The following is a 20,752-nucleotide window of genomic DNA, read 5'->3' on the forward strand; positions in this document are numbered from 1 at the left end:
TTTTTCTCTTTATATTCTTTTTAGCCATTCTATTTGACTGAACATATATCTCAATATCTTCATATCTGTTGCTTCAACTTCATTTCTGATTGTAACACCATAGTCTGAGCTCTCCTTACCTTGCTCTGAATGATGGCATCATGTCTGCCTGGTCTGTATTCCAGGTTTCTTTGATTCTGATTTATTCTGCACACTGATGCCGAACAGTTATTTTGAAAATATGCTTTCATCATGTCAGTCCTGATCAAGAACCTATGACAGCTCCTGGTTATTTATCTATCAGCTACATTCAACTGCCTCATTCAGGGGAAAATTCATCCCATTCTTGGATATTCCCTTATGAGTTCTGTTGAATAATTTAGGTTATTGCTATATGGACCCTATATGCACTTACGTTTTTATAAGTGGGTATTTCTATATAAAGACAGGGAGACACAATGTGGAGTACTAGAATACAAGAACTGGAAAGGGCTTTAAAGTACATCAAAACCAACTGTCTACATTTATAAATAAAAAAAAGTGGCCTACAGAGTTTAATGAACTACCCATGGTCATGGAGCCAATTAAATGACAGAACTAGGACTAGAAACTAAGTTGCATTATTCTCTTTTAGTGACTTTTAGATAGAGAATAATAAAAGTCATTTTTACAATTTAAAAAATAGAAACAGCTAGGAAGGCAGTTTAATTTCAATCTGTTGTTATGTATAAAAGATTGTTAAAATCATGCCACATAGAAGGCTTGAGTGTTCTTTTAACATGAATAATATGTACTTCTTATAAATCAATCAAATGTATCATTAGAATTTCCATAAAATTTGCACATCTGCAAATGACCTAGTTTATTTATACTTTGCTTTTTCCCTTGCTAATCTATATTGTTTTATTTAATCTGCTTTGCCACAATAAAAGCACAGTATTTTTTATCCTAGCATATTGCAGATTTTCACTAAGTTTCTTAATCATATCAATAAAAAATCCAATTTTCCCAGCAAATTCATATAAAAGATTTCTTTTGACTATAGTTAGGGATTTGAAGAACTACCTTTAAAAAATAAAAAAAAAAAAAATAGGAACTACTTCAAAATGCCTCTATTTAAATAGTAAACAACACGAACTATTGTGGAAGAATGTGGGCTGTCATCCATTTAATATGATATGATGATTGCTATATATATTCAAGAATCCCACTGTATTTGCCAAATGAAAACTTAACGGTAGTCACTGGTTTAGAAACGAGAGTTACCAAATATATTTATTATTTGTGGAAGAGGGGTAGGGCATAAGAGGTAAATGTGGAAATAGCCATGAATGGACCTAACTTTGATAGAAGCTCACTGATTTCAAAGGGCTGATTAACAAAGCATGTGTTTGCCTAACAAAATAATTGACAGAAAAGGTATTTATTAAATCATAAGGTGATTCAACTGTTTATAAAATACAAGGTTTAAACAAAATGGTAGTTCATCAGCAGCAATGAGAGCTCAGCTATGTTTTCTTTCTCCGTGTGTGCATGTGTGTAACCAAACAGGTCCACCATTCACTTAACACTCAACCAATATTTATTAAGCACCTACTTTGTGCTAGAAACCCTCTACTATCCAAAATAAGTAACCCTGTTATTTTGTTACAGAATACTCGACTACTCTGGACTGCTGTAAAATAAAAATTAATAATAATTTAGCCGGGCGTGGTGGCTCACGCCTGTAATCCCAGCACTTTGGGAGGCCAAGGCGGGCAGATCATGAGGTCAGGAGATCGAGACCATCCTGGCTAACACAGTGAAACCCCGTCTCTACTAAAAATACAAAAAGAAATTAGCCAGGCGTGGTGGCGGGCGCCTGTAGTCCCAGCTACTCGGGAGGCTGAGGCAGGAGAACGGCGTGAACCCGGGAGGCGGAGCTTGCAGTGAGTCGAGATCGCGCCGCTGCACTCCAGCCTGGGTGACAGAGCAAGACTCCGTCTCAAAAAAAAAAAAAAAAAAAAAAAAAAAAAAAAAAAAAAAAAAAAAAATGTATACCTGATATAAGGTGTTATAACAAAAATAATAAATTGAGTGATAAGAGGAGACAGATGAAACAGCATCCTAAATTTCTCATTTCATGTAGGATACTACTTCATTAATGACAATAATTAAACAGGCTTGAATGTTTTTCAGAAAAACAACAGTGATTATTACCGAAAGAATAAACTGTACTTTAAAACTTCAAATTGCTAGATTGATAAAAGCTAAAAAGGTAATCACACATCAAAAAAGACAGAGAGTGAGAGTGAGAAAGTGAGTGAGAATAGACCAAGCAAGCATAAAAACATAGAAAATATAAAAAAGATTTATGAGATAGTACTAGATATATTTTTTATAAAACGAATATTAGTTAATTTAATTAACATTAAAAATAATAACCATAATAATGTTAAAAGATAACAAAACATAATTTAACCATAGGATAGCAGTTTAAGGACACTAGCTTTGGTAGCAAAAACAGGATTCAAATATTATTTCTGCTATTTACTTGTTATAATCTCTTTCCTACTGGTGTATTTATTTAGACTATTTACCTCAACTTTCTGCTCTAAAAAATGGAAATAAGAATAACTGAACGTAGAAAGGATTGGGAAAAAATAATATGTAATGCTTAGTGACCAGCACAACTAAACATTCAATAACTGTAATTTGTAATATTATGTGTTTTAAATGATGTATCTAACTATGTACCCATATAAATTTAAAAAAAAAGAAAAAAATAGAAAAATGGTGCTGATAGATTTTCTCAATGCAGAGTTGCCACAAGCCTTCAGTTTGTGAAAAACTCAATATCTGCGAAGTGCAATAAAGCAAAGCACAATAAAAATAATATAAAAAACATAATAAAGAGAGATAAGAATCAAAGGAGTATTGTCCAAGATGTATTGTTACCTTAAAAATTCCGTGAAATATAAAATGTGAAAATCACAGAAACACAGTCAGACTTAAAAAGAAGATGATTAGTTACAGAAAGCTACTAAAAGCAGCCCATGGTGCTGAAGCCATAGGCCTGCTGAAATCTGGATCTAGAATCACATCGAGATACCTAGAATTCCAGCTCTTTAGAGTAATGAGGTCAAAGAGGCTCCATTTGAAATGGTGGACCTGAACCTGGCTTACTACTTTATCACGAGGCTACAAAAATTTGGCCAACTACTGCCTGGGGAAACAGCTTATATAGGGCTGCAGGACCTGAGAGCTGGAAGAATAAAGATACAGCATTATGATAAAATATTCATATAAGAATGAAGCTGAAAGCTACCATTGTAAGATCTGGATTGGGACTGAGAAGATCCAGATAAAGGCAACTGTAAAACCCCTAGTTAGGGACATGTGAACAAAACGAAACAAACAAAACAAAACCTGTAAAACAAAATTCTAAAGCATAACCAAGTAATGGTAAGAAAATCAATAATTGTAACATTCACTCCAGATAAATTTGATTTTATGAAATTATCTGACAATGACCTCAGCATGAATATGCTTGAGATGCTTAGTGATAAAGTACTCATACCTAAAAAAGAACAAGAAATGATTAAAGATAGAAATAAAATAAGAATAGGTGAATAAGAGTAAAACTTAATCAGAAATCTTAAAAAATTAAAAATGTTCATTAATATAAAAGTACAATAAATGAAATAAAGGAATTTCAAGGAAAGAATTGAGTGTATTGGAAGGTAATGTTAAGGAATTCACTCAGAAAAAAATTGTAGCAAGAAGAATTAATTTTTTGAAAATGAAATAGCAATTGAGATACTAATCAGTAAGCTGATTAGAAAATACCAATGTTTATCTTATAAGAATTCCAGAAAAAGAAAATGGAAGTAATGACAAAGGAACAATAAAGAAAAGGATAATAGCTGAGAATTTTCCAAAACTGGAGTCCTGAGATTAATAAGTATATCCTGAGTTCATGACTAATAATTCAAAATAAATCCACGTCCAGACACATTTCAGAGAAACTACAAGATATTTAGGATATAGAATAACTTTTAAAAGCTACCAGGAGAAAAAGCAGATTATTTATAAAGAGATAAAAACAGATTGATAGATTTCTCTTAATTAAGAATAGTTGACAGAACAATAGTCTAAGATATAATTGAGTAATGTCTTTAAAATACTCAACAAAAAATACCCAGATAAATTGCTATTTAAGATAAAAAACAAAATAAGTACATTTTTAGTTATATGAAATATATGTATTACCCAAGGTCCTCATTAAATAATTACTAAAAAAAAGTAACAAGAAAAGTGCACCCAGAAAGGAAGCCACAGGATCTAAGAATAATGGTAGGCATAGTAATATCTAAAAATATTAGTAAATATAATTAAGCATTGATTATAGACAACAGTGATCACCACTTTTGAATATGGTTAAAAACAAATAGGTAAAACTAAAACTTCATACACAATTATAGTAACAAGATTGATACTTAATAGGTAATTAAAAGATGCTATGTTAACCACCTTTTTTATACTAAGAAGAAGGTCAGAAATACTAAAAGGTCGATTTTATATTTTCTTAGAAAAATACACAGTTCAGTATACACAAAAGAATTTTAGAATTAGTGCTAAAGAAACAGATAAACCACCTACAGATTTCAAGCCAGAAGTAAAATCCATGTACCAGATAAAATCACAAAATAAGCTAAAAAAAGTTTTTCAATTAAAACCACATAAAACACATCATTTTATTTTAATGCGTTTAAATTCAGAAATAAATAATAAAAATAGAGCAAATATGTTTACAAAGTAAAAGCATACCCTTCTAAATACCTCAAGGGCTAAAAATAAAACAGATATTATGAAATATTTAAAATTGAACAAAACTACGTATCAAAACATGGTATGCACCTAATGAGAAACCAGGAGAAAAATTTAGAGTCTGAAATTCATTTTTAAAGATAATAAAAATTATTGAAAGTAAAAGGGTAATAATTCAATTCAAGAATCTAGAAAAAGAAAAATGGCCTAAAAATATAAAAAAAAAGAAGGAATGAAATAACGCTAATGCTGATAAAAGCAGAAAGTAATGATTTAGACTACAAATAAATAATAAAGTAGATAAGCAGAATCAAAAGCCAGTTTTTGTAAAGAAGTAAATGAAACAGAAAAATGTCTAGTGTCTAATAAAAAAAAGCAGAAGGGTCAAATAAATATTAGGAATAAGAGGGGAACATAAGGACAAAAAATTAAAAATCATAAGAATATATAAATAACTTTGTACAAATAAATTGAAGTATAAACTGTGAACTGTATTTAAAAAAAATAACTTCCCAAAATTGACTAGAGAAGAATCAGAAATTTCCTCTGTGGTTATTGGTTTATTCTGATATTCAAGTCTGCCTACCTACAACCTACTGATGAAAATTACCAAGTTCAGATGACAAATACTCAGAATAAAAAATCCCAATAATGTGAAAACTGTTTAAGATATAGAAAAAAATGAAATGTTACTCAGCTTATTTTGTGAGGCCAGTATTGTCACAGCAAAACTCTATAGTAACAGTTAAGAAAATAAAATTTAAAGATTGATCTCCCCATGTAAACATACTACATGTCAGTAAATTAAACTCAATAGTAGATTAAAAAATACACCAAGAGCAAGAATATTTTTTCCAAGAATATAAGAACTGTTTAATATCAGGAAATGTATTAATATCTTATAAAATATTAACATAGTAGTGGAAAATTTTATCATATTATTGATGCAGAAAATGCATTAGATAAAATTTAACTAGTATTTCTGATTAAAAACACTTAGTAAACTATAAATAGTTTAGGAACATATTAAGAACTTCCTTAATACAATAATTTCGATTTCTCAAAATCCCAAGCAAATGTTATGTTTCTAAAACATTTCCATTAAAATAAGAAACAGAATAGATATTCTTAATGTGACTATCCTATTCACACTATACTGAGGTTTAGTAATGCAATATGACAGGAAAAAATTGAACATTTAAGAATTAGAATTTAAGAGAATGACTGTCATTATTTACTGCTGACATACATGTTGCTGTAGAAAACTTAAGAGAATTTACCAGTTTAGTTATTCAAAGTAGTAAGAGAGCTCAGCAAAGTTGCTGAATATATAACAATAATAACCAATAAACAATGAAATGGAAAACAGATATGAATATAATAATGTAAGAATCTAAGTTATATGAGGAACAATTTTACAAAATAGGTTCAAGAAATTTATGATGGAAATTTTAAAACATGATTATAGGATATGAAGATGATCACAAATAGAGGGATATAGTATGTCACTGGGCAGCAAGACACATTATAAAAATGTCAATTCTCCCCAGATTATTTTCTAATGTTAATGTAATTACAAATAAAATTCAGCAAGACTTTTGCCAAACTTGACCAACTAGCCCTAAAACTCATATTGAATAGCAAAAGACCAAGGGAGCTAAAAGAATCTTAAAAAGGAACAAGGTAGAGAGACTTATCTTACCAAGTAAAAAGAATATTATAAAGCTATGGTAATTAAGGGTTATGGTGTTAGTACAAGGATAGAAAAACAGTCCATCGGATCAAATAAAGATCATATAAACAGATTTGATATAGGCAAAAGATGGCATTATAAATTAGTTAATAAAGAATGACTAATTTTTTAAATAATGCTGGGATAACTGGGTTATCCATATGGAAAAAGAATAAAATAGGGTGCATGTAGGGTACCAGAACCAAAAATAATTCCAGAAGGATTAGAGATCTAAATGTAAATGGGAAATCTTTAAAACTGTTAGAAGAAAATACAGAAAGGTAAATGACCTTGGCATGTGAAAGGATTTCTTAAATGACATAAAAGCACAAATTATGAAGGAAAATATCAATAAGCCTAGTTGAGTTAATATTAAAAGCTTTATAAAAACAAATACTACTAAAGCCACAGTTAAAAGGGCACCTACAAATTGGGAAAAAATCTTTGTAATCTCTATGGCCCAAAATATGAAAATCCAGAATATTACAACAACAGCAACAACTAATACCAAAAACCAAATCAAGCCAAACAAAACTCTTCCAAAATAACAACAGCACAACAAATAACCCAACAGAAAGATGGACAAAAGATGCAAATTAGGCAACACAGAAGAGAAAATCCCAATGGCTTACAACTAAAAAAAAAAAAAAAGTTAATGAGATATTATTCAATTCCGATCAGACTGACAAAAATTTTAAAAAGTCTGACCATCACAAATGTTGTGAAGCATGTGGAGAAGCTCTCATAGATTGTTACTGAGAATATAAATTGGTACAAATACATTGGAGGGAGGTTTTACAATACCTAGTAAAGTTCAAAATGCATATTTCTTAAAGTTTAGCATTTCTACTTCTATGTATATATGTCTATAAAAATGTTAACTGTGGTCTTGTTTGTGATTGGGAAACAATTAAAATAATGTCCAACAATGAGAGAATTGATAAATAAATTTTAGTAATACATACAGAAGAATACATTTCATATAAACCAAAATATATAGCTTATGTAAAACTAATTCATGATGATAGAGGTTACAGTGGTTTTGCTTGTTCTTTACCTTTTGTTAAAACTTTGGAAAATTTCACCTTCAAGGGGCACATACAAAGGATTCTTCTTAGGTATTATAAATATTCTGCACCTTGGGTTGGGTGTTGTCACATGTATACTCATCAAGGTATACACTTAATTTGTCTAATTCACTGTATGTAACCTATAATAAAATAATAAAAAATAGGTTCAGAAACAAATGTTCCAAATTATTAAACTTCGTTTAACCTGGGTTCTGGATTCTTGTATTTCATATTATCCTTTATACTTCCATGTGTTTTAATTTTTTTTTTTTTTTAAAGACAGAGTCTCACTCTGTCCACCAGGCTGGAGTGCAATGGTGCCATCTCAGCCCACTACAACCTCCGCCTCCTGGGTACAAGCAATTCTCCTGCCTCAGCCTCCCGAGTAGCTTACAGGCACGTGCCATCATGCCTGGCTAATTTTTGTATTTTTAGTAGAGACAGGGTTCTGCCATGTTGGCCAGGCTGGTCTCGAACTCCTAACCTCAAGTGATCTGCCCACTTTGGCCTCCTAAAGTGCCGGGATTATAGGCGTGAGCCACCATGCCCAGCCTGTGTTTTAAATATTTTACATTAGAAAATGTATAAGGCAAACACCATAGATTTTCCTAACTAGAATTAATCGAGGTAAAGGAAAGCACTAGTGTCATCTTCTCTTCACTATCTCTGATAATAGAGCCCAATATTAGTAAGCACTTCACAGCCAAACATGCCTACAAAGTGATTATTTTGTTGAATCAAAAGCAAAAGTTTTCATTCACTTCTTGACTGACTATAGAATCTCAGGCTTCCTTAAGTGAGTGACCAGAGGGATATATTGTTGATATAGACAGATGCTGCCAATGCACAAAGATCATCCATTTAGGTTTTTCAGTTGATGAAGTGAGGCATGCATTGCCAGACTTTACTTACATGAATTAACAGAATCAACAGGTGATTTGGTATCAGTACTGCTATTGGCTGGCGGGTTTCACCTCTGGTTTCAGAAAAGAAAGAGATGATACCTTTTCAATGCTGCATTTCAAGTCAACCATATGAAAAGCAAAGTTTTATTCCAGTCACTTTTCTTTCTCTCACATTGTGGAAGAAAAGTGCCAGCCACTGCTACTCTAACCACTAACCATGGTACAGATGTTTGAAAAATGTGAAACAGAGAAATGAAACAAAAAGGAAACCCTCAAAAATTAAGTTTCGCATAAGTGAAAAATACAGTATTTATGTATCATAACTGCAAAAAGATCAATGGACTTTTTTCTCATGTATTAAACAAAAATAAACACAAACATTGATTTTTTGACTTAGTGTTTTGTTGAAACCAACAATTACAAGGACCAACTCAAACATGGCTAAAAGTGGGAATAAAAATAAGATTTCTTTTATCCTGATAAAAGATTTTTTATCACCAAGAACGTTACAGTATGACCTACTTAAGTGAATACTTATTAAAGAAACAGATTCATTTAAAAAACATGTTTTTAGGTAAATAGGAACGGTGCAAGTGTTTCTTTGAAATCTTACAAAAGATAAAAATTAATTGAACTAACTAAGGTTCCTTACCCTATGCAAATAAGAAACGGCTTAGAAAGAAATGTCTTCAAACTGTTGAAATGTATATTCCTTAGTTGGTGTAACCAATGTGAGGTCTCAGTTACTATAATAGCAAATGTTCTATTAGATTTAAGCACATCAGTGCAAATTATTAAAATGAGACTGTCTTTGTTTAAAATAAAGCTTTAAAAAATGTAATGTAATCTCTGAGGGAGTATTGCCTGAAATGAAAGTTTTAGGCCGAGCTCTGCCACAATCCTATTGCGCATCTTGGTTCATCTGATTAAACATCTTTGGGTCTCAAAATTCACATACATTCACATTTCTAAAGTGAGTGTGATATAAAGTCATAGCTTGATCATCAAACTCCTTTCTAGCCCTAAAATTCTACGTATCTAATGAGATTAATTTATCATGAGGTGTTTTTCTTCTTTCCTTTGTTAATTTCCTTACAATAAATAGACAAATAAATGATCAAATAAGCAAATAAATAAATATTAAAAAGACATACACACACTGATAGCTATCCATCTGAATAGGAAGAAAGACTTTTTTTTGTTTGCCATTATCTATCCCCTAATGTGTATTTAAAAAGAGAGCTCCCACAGAAAAGATTTTTATTTTTTTCTAAATCAAAAATAGTGTATCATTTATTTGCCATTTAAGTTCTACTAAGAAGGAAAACACAAAATCATTATGGAAATCCTATTAGGAACTTTAGAAAGAAAAAGCTGATGAAATTCCATTTACAATTCAAATTGTTCATTCACGTATTTCCTTTTGCAGAAACTTTAAATGCTGCCTCAAACTATCTTCACCTCTTTTTCCAGGGACAATATCCCTAACTCTGTTAAAAAAAAAAAAAGGCTCTCTTCTCACACCCTTCCCACCTGTCCTCTGAGGTAGTTGTTCCACAAAGCTAAGGTATAGATTACATCAAGAGATATTTGGGATGGGAGTAAAACATTTCACCCTGGAGACAGTAATGTGTGCAATTTGCCAAGTCTAAAAGAAAGTTAAGCCTCATCACCACTTTGGCAAGAAATGTGGTTCTCATGGATGGACAATGATTATCATTTTTACACAGAACTTTTGAAAATGAAAGTACCTGGGGCACCAGCCAGAAAATAAGTACGAGAATGCAAGTTTTTTGCGTCAATATTTAAATCAGACAAAACACTATCAGTGTACCCTTAACAGACCTGAAGCGTCTAGAAAGAATACAAGGCAGCTGACACCTTGGTGAATAAGAGCAGCTCAGTTTTATGAAAAGGCCAAAGTCTTAGGGCAAACTCTCTGTTGTTCCAAGTGCTGATATACCTATGGCATCAACAAAGGCAAAACACCATAGGGGGCAATAGGCAAGGCTTCTCTTACAGGCAAGGCTCCTGTTAAAGGCTGGGACCCTCTGGACTACACACTCGAGGAACCCCAAGTGTGGGTCCCTGAGGGGAGGAAGTTTCCTCAAACAGAACGGCGAGAGGCTGAAGTTACACAGTGTAGGAGTACTCCCTGCTGGCAGCTGAGGTTGGAAATGAACTGGTGATGTCCTAGAGAGGGCTGCTTAAATTTTCTATGAGGAGGCTAATGGAGATAACAGTGCTCTTGAGGGGACAAGAGCATGGGTCTGATTAGGTTTAGATAACTCCAGATATTATGCTGAGTGAGGAGGAGGTTAAGGGAAGCTACTGATGACAGGAACTCCAACAATTGACAAAAACTATGTGTAGAGCTGGTATATACAATTTTCATTTAAGTTTCCCATCTCATATCATTCTATAAAGCATACACAGCCGTATGTGCACATGTGTGTGGGGTTCAGAGGATGCAGGAAGAAATCTATTTCTGTGCAGTTCATTTTACCCCTGCAAGAACAATCTTTGAAACCGTCTAATGTATTCACATTTATGTTTTACAAGGAATCCCTTCCATACTTCTAATGGACCTGCCTGGTATGCCCCCTGTACCACTATACCTAATCCCTAGGCAGGTGGTCTTTGTATGGGCCTGGGGCAACCACACTGGTTTCTCCCCAGTGCTCTGCTCTGTTAGGGTTCTTCTGCATAATAAAATGAAGGTCAAAATGGCAGCCTGCTAAAAGCAGCAGTATTTCAGTTGCAGGAATAACTTGCTTGTCATCAACTTGTTAATGCAATAGTCAAACATTTCTCTGACATGTACAGTATCAGCTAACTTCAGCAGATAAAGGGTCTAGAACAGGAAGATGCTGCAGATGCTTTAGCTCGGAGGAAGGCTTAGCAGAGCCAAAACGTCAGCAGGGCCTGTTTGTTCCATACTTTCCATCGGGCTCTGTGAAAGAAATGTTAGATTACTGCAATGACAAGTTTGTGACAAGCAAGTCATTTGTGCAACTGGTGCGCTCCTGTTTTTATCTGTTTACCATTCAGACTTGTGAATGCCATTTCAAGCACTTAGAGGATTTCTGGCTCCCATTAAGGGGAAATGGTTCCTCCATGTTTAGAATTTTCTACCTCAAAGAGAATTACTAAGCAATTATTTGTTCCTGTGGTCAGTGTCACACAAAAGCACTCTTGAGTTGTTTAGCTGGACTCTGAATCATGAAATGAAGTCCTGAAGACTGGATAGCTTGGAGCATCAAAAATTTCCCATCTAGTTTATTGGAATGACTACAAAGCAAGCCTGTGAGAGACAATAAAATTATGGCCAGCTTGAAATACCTTGCCCTTTTGCTCTGGGATCATATATCAAGGCCATATGCTTCAAGCCACATAAACTCACTTGTAACAAGTAGATCCTGAGAAGCTAAGGCCTGGCGATGTCACACTGACATGTGATTTAGCATATGACTGTTTTGGTGACAAGGACCACTTTAGCTGTTGAGAAGAGAATTTCCACTGACTTCTCTCTATACCTTGTGGGTAACTATAGGGTCAATACTAATCCAGAGAACATTTTAACTGTGGTAAAATAAAGTAATATAATATCAAATTAATAACTAGGGCCATCCTCACTAGGCTGACTTTTTAATAGTGAATGGAGACCCTGGCAGATTTGAGATCAAGAATTCAAGATCCTCTCATTAGGTCCTTCACCTGAAGTTGCTGAGTTTCTTCAAGTCATTTTAACCTCCTGGGACGAAGGTAGAAAATAACAGCACATGTTCCTTTCCATCTGACATAAATGGTCTCAGGGTCAATATTACAAAAGATGAAGAGTGCCTTCAGACTCAAGAACAAGAATGATACTCTCTAAACATCATTTATTCTTTCTACAATTTTACATTTTTGCCCATTGTTGGTACTGAATTTATACATAACTCTAGGTATAACTCCCTTTTTTTTTTTTTTTTTTTTTTTTGAGATGAAGTCTCACTCTTGTCACCCAGGCTGGAGTGCAATGGTGTGATCTTGGCTCACGGCAACCTCCATCTCCCGGGTTCAAGCGATTCTCCTGCCTCAGCCTCCTGAGCAGCTGGGACTACAGGCACCCACCACCACACCCGGCTAATTTTTGTATTTTTAGTAGAGACGGGGTTTCACCATGTTGGACAGGCTGGTCTCGAACTCCTGACTACAGGTGATCTGCCCACCTCGGCCTCTCAAAGTGCTGGGATTACAGGTGTGAGCCACCGTGCCTGGCCCAATTCTAGGTATAACTCTTAAAGAACATAACAGAATGAGGCTTTGAAGCAGACACAGATGTACACTATCTGGGGAAGCAAGTCAAAGCCGGAACAGGTGGAATGTCAAGGACTAGACAAAAGTAATGATGTAAAGTGAAGCAGAGCTTAGAAAGGGCTACTAGAGAATGTTACAGAAAGCGATAATAGTACTCATTGAATAAAAATTTTATTGTGAATGATCCTGTGCCAGACACTATGTGTATTATACAATTTACATGTGTAATTTAATCATTACAATAATTCTATGGCATATGCATGCTCAATATTTTTTCAGATGTGAGAACTAAAATGTAGGGAGTTAAGTACTTCACACCATAAATATGTAAGCTGCAGAGATTTGAAACCAGTTTTCCATTGTTCCAAAGCCCATGTACTCTTAACCATAGAAGAACGAAAGTCATTTCCACTGCCTCCAGAAGCCTTTTCTCTCTTGCTTACTGGAAAACATTTCAGTCTGGAAATACAGGAATTCACTAATTTGATACAAAAGGGCCAGTGAGAAGATTCTAGCTCTATCTGTATTGCCATCCTTGTTAGGCCTCTGAGAAAGCTGAGTTTCATCAAGATGTCATTCCTTTCTCCAGGCCTGACCTATTCCTACTTTAATGCACTGGGGAAGAGGTAAGTGATTCTAACCTAATCACATATCTCCGTGCTATGAATGGAGGGTGTTTGGCGGCATCTCCTTGTGTCCATGACAATTCCTTTCTCTCTCTTCATGTGTATAGCCTTTAGTTCATCCTACTCTTTGCTCCCATATTACTTCCAGGGGGCCTTCTTTTGTCACTTGTCTGCTATTCTGTTTTAGGTGGGGGAAGGGGCGGACAGCTTTCTTACCATGACAAGGATCACTGAAACAGTCTCAACTTCAAACTTTGCACAGAATGTATCCTTTGTTCGGTCTTCTGCTTTGTTTCTCTTTAATGATAGCTTTGCCATGAGTCCCATTCGTATGTAACTCAGAGCTATGCAAATCAAGCTGGTAAGCAAGCATTTGCAGTTACTCAGTCTTAAAATGAATATGTGTCCAACCAGTGGAAACCTGAGTGAGGAATGTCTCCTGAACATTATGTGTGGAATGGCTCCTTTCCTTGATGGGTGGCAAATAATAAACTCAGTGAGATCTGCATTATATTCCCTGGTCTCTTTTAGTGTATGCTCAGAGTGGGTCACAAGAGTGGTTTTAGCTTATGTAAAATTTTTTCTTATAGTATTTCCAATTTTTTTTAACTTCTTGATGTCTCCCAAACACAGAATTCTTAATAGCTACTGAAAAATCCCCATGCCTGAAGAATCCTAAGATCCCAGGGCAAAAATATGGTAAAGAACATTAAACAACCCATGGTCTGGGTCTTAATCTGGTGCTCACAGTGATCATTCAGTCTCTGCTGCATACCACCAGGGCACGGAACTCTCCACTGTAGGATACTTCTTTCTGTTCTGTTCTTCCTTATGCTGAATCTTAATCCATATTAGTCTGTTCTCATGCTGCTATGAAGAAATACCCAAGACTGGGTAATTTATAAAGAAAAGAAGTTTATATGACTCAGTTTCGCATGGCTGGGGAAGCCTCAGGAAACTTACAATCATAGCAGAAGGCACCTCTTCACCGGGCAACAGGAGAGAGAATGAGTGCTGAGCAAAGGGGGAAAAGCCCCTTATAAAACCATCAGATCTCATGAGAACTCACTCACCATCACGAGAAAATCATGGGAGTAACTGCTTCCATGATTCAATTACTTCTCACCAGGTCCCTCCCACGACACATGAAGATTATGGGAACTACAATTCAAGATGAGATTTGGGTGAGGACACAGCCAAACCATATCATAATCTATCTTTCTAAAATCCCCCCAGTGCGTCTAGTTCTTTCTCACCCTAAATTTCAGTTCAGAGCTTCAGAAAATTATTAGTTTAATGACTCATTTAATGACAACCCTTGTGTGTATTACATACCAACAACTGGGTTTAGATTGTCCTGCCTTGTCCCTTTCTCCTCACCCAACATGATTTAAATTCCCACTCTATCCCTCTGACAAGCCGGGGAGAAATAAAAGCCAGTCACACCCATTTCTCATTTCCATTTGGATGCAGGTAGTACTGGTGGCAAAGCATTCTTAATCTCTTTGATTTTCTGTCCTATTCTGTGGAAAATCTTTCCTGACAACCTCAGGCATCTTTGATTGATATGGCTATTTATAGATTGACCATTTAATTTATTGTCCAAGCAGGGACACTTTTGACAGTGAAAGGGCCTTATAAATAATTATACCAAGACTACAGACTTAAACAAGAACTTTCCCAGGCAAACTTACATAACACCTTGCATATACTTTTACTTCAATACCCATCTTTTTGCATAAAAACTTTCATGTCTATTTTTCCCACCAACCTGTGAACACTCTTTAGCAACAGAAACATATTTTTACCTATGCAGCTTCAGTTCCTAGAAAAGTGCTTGTAAGTATAAAGACCTGGGGGTAAATATGTACTGACGCACATGCATATGCCTATATGCATGTGTATGTGTTTGAATTGATGGTATATTTTTCCATAATTACATTCTGTGGACCTCTCCCCTTATTTCATAGCAAATACCACCAACACATGTTAACTTCATATTTTTGGAGATGAATCAAAAATATTTCACTTAATGCCATAGGAAGGAAATGGTCTGAGTATATTGGTAATGGGTTTGCTTTTAATATTGACAGCAACAAACAGAAAGTGAAATGTGATAAATTTTCCACTAAAAGTCTACTGCATATTTTTTTAACAAAGCACTGAACAATAAGCTTTAATCGCTTTCTTCACAAGTATTATAAATTGTTTCAGGCCGTGTGCGAAGGCTCACGCTTGTAATCCCAGCATTTTGGGAGGGCGAGGCGGGCGGATCACCTGAGGTCAGGAGTTTGAGACCAAGAACGGCCAACATGGTGAAACCCCGTCTCTACTAAAAATACAAAAATTAGCCAGTCATGATGGTGGGCACCTGTTATCCCAGCAGGAGGCTGAGGCAAGTGAATCGCTTGAACTTGGGAGGCGGAGGTTGCAGTGAAGCTGAGATGGTGCCACTGCACTCCAGCCTGCAGCCTGGGCGAAAGACTGAGACTCCGTCTCAAAAAATAAAAATAAATAAATAAATTTATTTATTAATTTATTTAATAAAAAATAAAAATAAATAAAAAATAAACAAAAATAAAAATAAATAAATAAATAAAAATTTCAGCAGCTGTATCCACAATTTCAAGTTTGTAGTAAATGAGTTATTATAGGAAATGATGGTAATTTAAGAGTGATCCTTTAATCTCCATTAAAATGTTGGTGGCATTTCTATTGCTTTCACCCTCGTCAAGCACATTTGGAAGTCCTGGTAACTTTTGGCAGTTTTTTTGCTTCTGAGTAACTGTGGCTTTAAGAAAAAGAAAGGTAAGGAGAAAGTGCCTGGAAAATGTGAACCACTTAGAGAAGTCATTTCTTCCCTTCTCGCTGACACATGCAGACCATTCCAGAAAGATATGACTCTATACTGGTTAAAGAGCTTCATAGAGGATAATCTCACAACTTCCCTTTCAGTGTTTAGCACTCACTATTAATAACCTATCTCATTATCAAACCTTAAGATTTTCTGTTGCAGCATATTTTGTCATTATCAGACCTCAGTGAAGAAAAGAGAGAAAGCCTTGTTTCCCACTTCTCATCACTTGCTTAACAGCTACTATTAGCGCTCTACCTTAACATTCCTTTTTCCAAGATAAAAAAAGTCAATGTTTTTGACTCTTCCTTGAGAATTTTTTTCCAAAATGTTAAATTTAAATTTGTTTGGAGGGGTTTGATAATTCTGTCTCTCTAAGATGTTTGTATTCAGTATTATCTGAAATCAGAACAAGCATGAATAAGTATGTAATCTATGCTCATAAGAAATCAGAGAAATATCTATATTTGGCATGCTTCTTATACATTCCACTATTATAGCTATTTTAAAATTTCAGTTTGACATTTCACACTCTTGATAAACTTTCTATAATCTACTTCTAGATGCTATTTTTCCCACAGAGGAAGTCATTCTTTATTTTCAGTCCATCAATGACATTTACCAAACCATCACGGATAATGAAAAATATAAGACTTATAAGATTCAAAAGAAACAAAGTTACATGTCTATTATTTCAGAGTCTTAAATATGTGGAAAAAAGAAGACAATCCCACACAAAAGAAGAAACATGGATAAGCATGCTCAGGTGTTTGGTGCTAGCTCACCAGCTATTAGTATAGGTGAACTAATACAGCTATATGGAATTCTCTATACAAGTGATGAAGAAGTAGTGGATGAAATGCCACTTTTGAGGTCTGCTTTCTCTCCTGAAGAAAACTAACAATAACTTTTATTTAACAACGTTTTGTTTATTCCCAGTTTTACTGAGTGTTCATTTCAGTCCTCCCTCTGAAGTGGTTAGTTATACTTATCTCTCAAATTGTTGTTATTTGGACACTGTACGTAAAAGCATTGCACTTTGAAAGCATGCATTTCTTGTCCTCAACATCTAAAATAATGATTTGCAACCATTTAGAAGTTCTGGTATCCTGTTGTTAATGTGATTTTTGCATCACTCTTCCTTGCCTATTCCTTAAAATATAATTTTAAATGAAAATTAATTTCATTTTGAGGTTTTGAAATGCCTCTAACAATAATTTAGAATACACTGAATTTGCCAATATTGGAAAACATGTATGTAGTCTAGATTATCAAGCCAGAATCCAGGACCGACCTCAATAGCATGTCACTTCTATATCTCTCAATACTGAGTCTCATCTCCTACTAATCATTTCCTGAGAATTCTGAAGTGCTGGCCACAAAATAAATAGGTTAGAATTTTTTATTTTTTGGTCATTTGAGACAGAATTAAAGGCTCTGCTGGTTACGTGGAGTTATATCATAATACTAGCTTTGCCTTAGTTCAGCAAAACTTACATTGGGCTAAGAAAGAAGATAATATATTATCAAGGCGTTGTGTCCTGGTATCATCAAACGATGGGCAAATCGATTTCATTAGGTCTCTCCTAGGATATTTCGTGGAATAAAAGTTAGAGTTCTATGTCTATAACTTGCAGGATAGAATTATTAAAAATGGTTGTATTTAAGTGCATTTTCCCAAATAGTGAGTTTCCTTTTGGCAGAAAAGAGACAATGAAGGTAAATGTGAAAGTATCATCAACCACAAACTAGTAAGCTGAACTCAAGTATAATGGCAATCTTCCTGGGTGATCAGCCATAGAGCACCATTTGTGCAAGAGTCTGAATTTCTATACTAACTTACTTTTAAATTTCGTTGAATACAAACATAACAATGTTTTTAATAAGTGGCTTATCTATTAAGTTTATAGAGAACCTTCCACTAAAGAGATTACTTATTCTAATCTATTCTTTTGTCCAATCTTTTCCCCATTTTTGCCCAGTGTTTTGTTTATATAATATTTTATTCTATAAAAATCTATATTATACATTTTCTACCTGCCTTGTCTATTCTTATACATTCACAATCTATTCTACTCTTAGTATATAATTTGAACAGATTCACATACATAAATCAACATTCATTACTTCTGGGCATATAAATGGTTGCTGGGTCCATGACGGCTGTTTAAATAGGTAGCTTCCAGGCCACTATGACATAGGGAAAAACTGAAAAGTGTATGTTTTATAATTATTGAGTAAAAGAGGATTTTCATTATGGAGACATGTACAGCTATCTCAAAGGCTTATTTTTCCAAAAGGAACAACGACACTGTCCCCTGGGATATGTGAATTGAAAATTCAGTGTCAACCTCTTCTAAAAAAGTAGATATTTTGAGGTATTAAAAAGCGTTCTTTTATTAGTGATAACACCTCTTACTTGGGGTCGTTTTGAGATGAAAGTTGGCAAGTAGATTTTTCAATAAGGCGGGGTGGGAATCACTATAAATTCATAAACTAAAAAGAAGAATGACAATTTATTGGCCCAAAAATAGGGGAGAGGGAGAGATTTTTTTGTTCTTTTTTCTTTTCTTTTTTTTTTTTTTTTTGAGACGGAGTGTCGCTCTTGTGGCCCAGGCTGGAGTGCAATGGCGTGATCTCGGCTCACCGCAATCTCTGCCTCTGGGGTTTAAGCGATTCTCTTGCCTCAGCCTCCTGAGTAGCTGGGATTACAGGCATGCGCCACCACACATGGCTAATTTTGTATTTTTAGTAGAGACAGGGTTTGTCCACGTTGGTCAGGCTGGTCTCGATCTCTCGACCTCTGGTGATCCACCCACCTTGGCCTCCCAAAGTGCTGGGATTACAGGTGTGAGCCACTGCGCCTGGCCTAGGAGATTTTGGAATAAAGGTGTCTCTGTGACTAAAAACATATAACTGGTCATAGATAGTCTGTTTACCTCTAGTGTCTTTTGGAGCAAGGGTGTGGGTCTCTCTGTTGAGTGGTGCCTATCATTAGGCATCACAGCAACATCAACAAAACTCATCTCCGTAATATAGTAGATTTTACATTGTGTTAAGGTAGACCTTTTAAACAACTCCTTCAAGTTTTCTGTTGATTTCCTGCCAGACAGTCAGACAGCTACTTCTTTTTTAGTAGGAGTAGTCAAGGCTAAAGTCAATACATGTGCCTTCCTTGCTGAGTTAGAATCAGGCATATTCCATCAACACATATGTCCCACTGTTCTCATTTCTCTCACTTTACTATGTGATTAGTAGACAAAGTATATACTAAAGAAAGCTGAGGAAGTTGCTAGGATTTCTAAAGAAGAAGAATCCAAATCTTGCCTACTTTAGGCAAAAAACATTTTAGTATTAATTGAAAAGAGATGGTTAAATTGCAACCCATAAATTAAAATGTAGTTCCAAAGTGTGTCTATAGTGATCTACAAGCAAACATAATTTCTCATATTCTTTTTTTTTTTTTTTTTTTGAGATAGAGTCTTGCTCTGTCACCAGGCTGGAGTGCAGTGGTGCGATCTCAGCTCACTGCAACCTCCGCCGCCCGGGTTCAAGTGATTCCCCTGCCTCAGCCTCCCATGTAGCTGGGATTACAGGCACATGTCACTACACCGGGCTAATTTTTTGTATTTTAGTAGAGACGGGGTTTCACTATGTTGGCCAAGATGGTCTCGATCTCCTGACCTTGTGATCCGCCCACCTCGGCCTCCCAATATATTATTAAAATATATTCTGCAGGCTAATTCTATGTTCTTATCTCATTCCTGTTTCTTCCTCTGCTCCAGAAAGGATTAGTGTCTAGCATAAAACAAACAGTATATAATAAAGAACAGATAATGTATAGTCATAAAATTCTGAATCCACAGCAAAAAGAGGGTAAGGTCTTAGTCTAGCAGGTAAGTCTTATTGACAATAATAAAGGCATGTTTCTAAGCCACCCATGGAAAATACCAAAAATGTTCTCTATTATATCTTGAGGTGAAGTTTTGGCCGTGTAAAAAATTATGGTTAATGCTGTGTATGTTATGTTTTATTTGCCTTCATTCTGGGACCACAAAAACGGATCTAACTATAGATAGGGGCAGGAGAGCATTTGTGTTTCTTCATTAGAAGCTGTGCATGTTAGTCTAATGTATAAGAATTAGGAAAACAATACTAAATCTCTTGATGCAGGCCATGTCATAAATCCATTTATACTTATATAATATTTTCCTTTTTCTTATTCTTTCAACCTTCATGCTTCTTTTTTCATTTAAAAAACTTTGGGGTCAGCCCTTATATTACCAGATGATTTCTAGTAGTTGAAGCCCTTGGGAAATTCATTTGTCCATCCATGCTGCCTAGTTTAGTACAACACTCCAAAGGGAACTTCCTTCTACCAAAGGCAATGACTGATTGGACTTAAAAAATAACTTCTATAAATATGACATAATATCTGGAGGCCACATTTATAGCTGGTCAAATGCACTGTTAGC

At 34.9% G+C, this 20,752-nt stretch overlaps 1 protein-coding gene across 17 annotated transcripts in view; it reads right to left on the reverse strand.

Moving 5' to 3' along the window:
• ZBTB20 (zinc finger and BTB domain containing 20) overlaps positions 1–20,752 on the reverse strand; it is an 832,789-nt gene that overhangs the window by 260,037 nt on the left and 552,000 nt on the right. The window contains exon 7 of one of the 17 annotated variants that reach the window (NM_001348803.3): positions 8,503–8,566. The exons of the other annotated variants lie outside the window; for them this stretch is intronic. The gene's annotated coding sequence lies outside the window, so the exon portion shown is untranslated. The remainder of the gene's footprint in view (positions 1–8,502; positions 8,567–20,752) is intronic. 17 annotated transcript variants of the gene reach the window in all.

The sequence above is a fragment of the Homo sapiens genome, chromosome 3 (genome assembly GCF_000001405.40).
Source record: "Homo sapiens chromosome 3, GRCh38.p14 Primary Assembly".
NCBI lineage: Eukaryota > Metazoa > Chordata > Mammalia > Primates > Hominidae > Homo > Homo sapiens.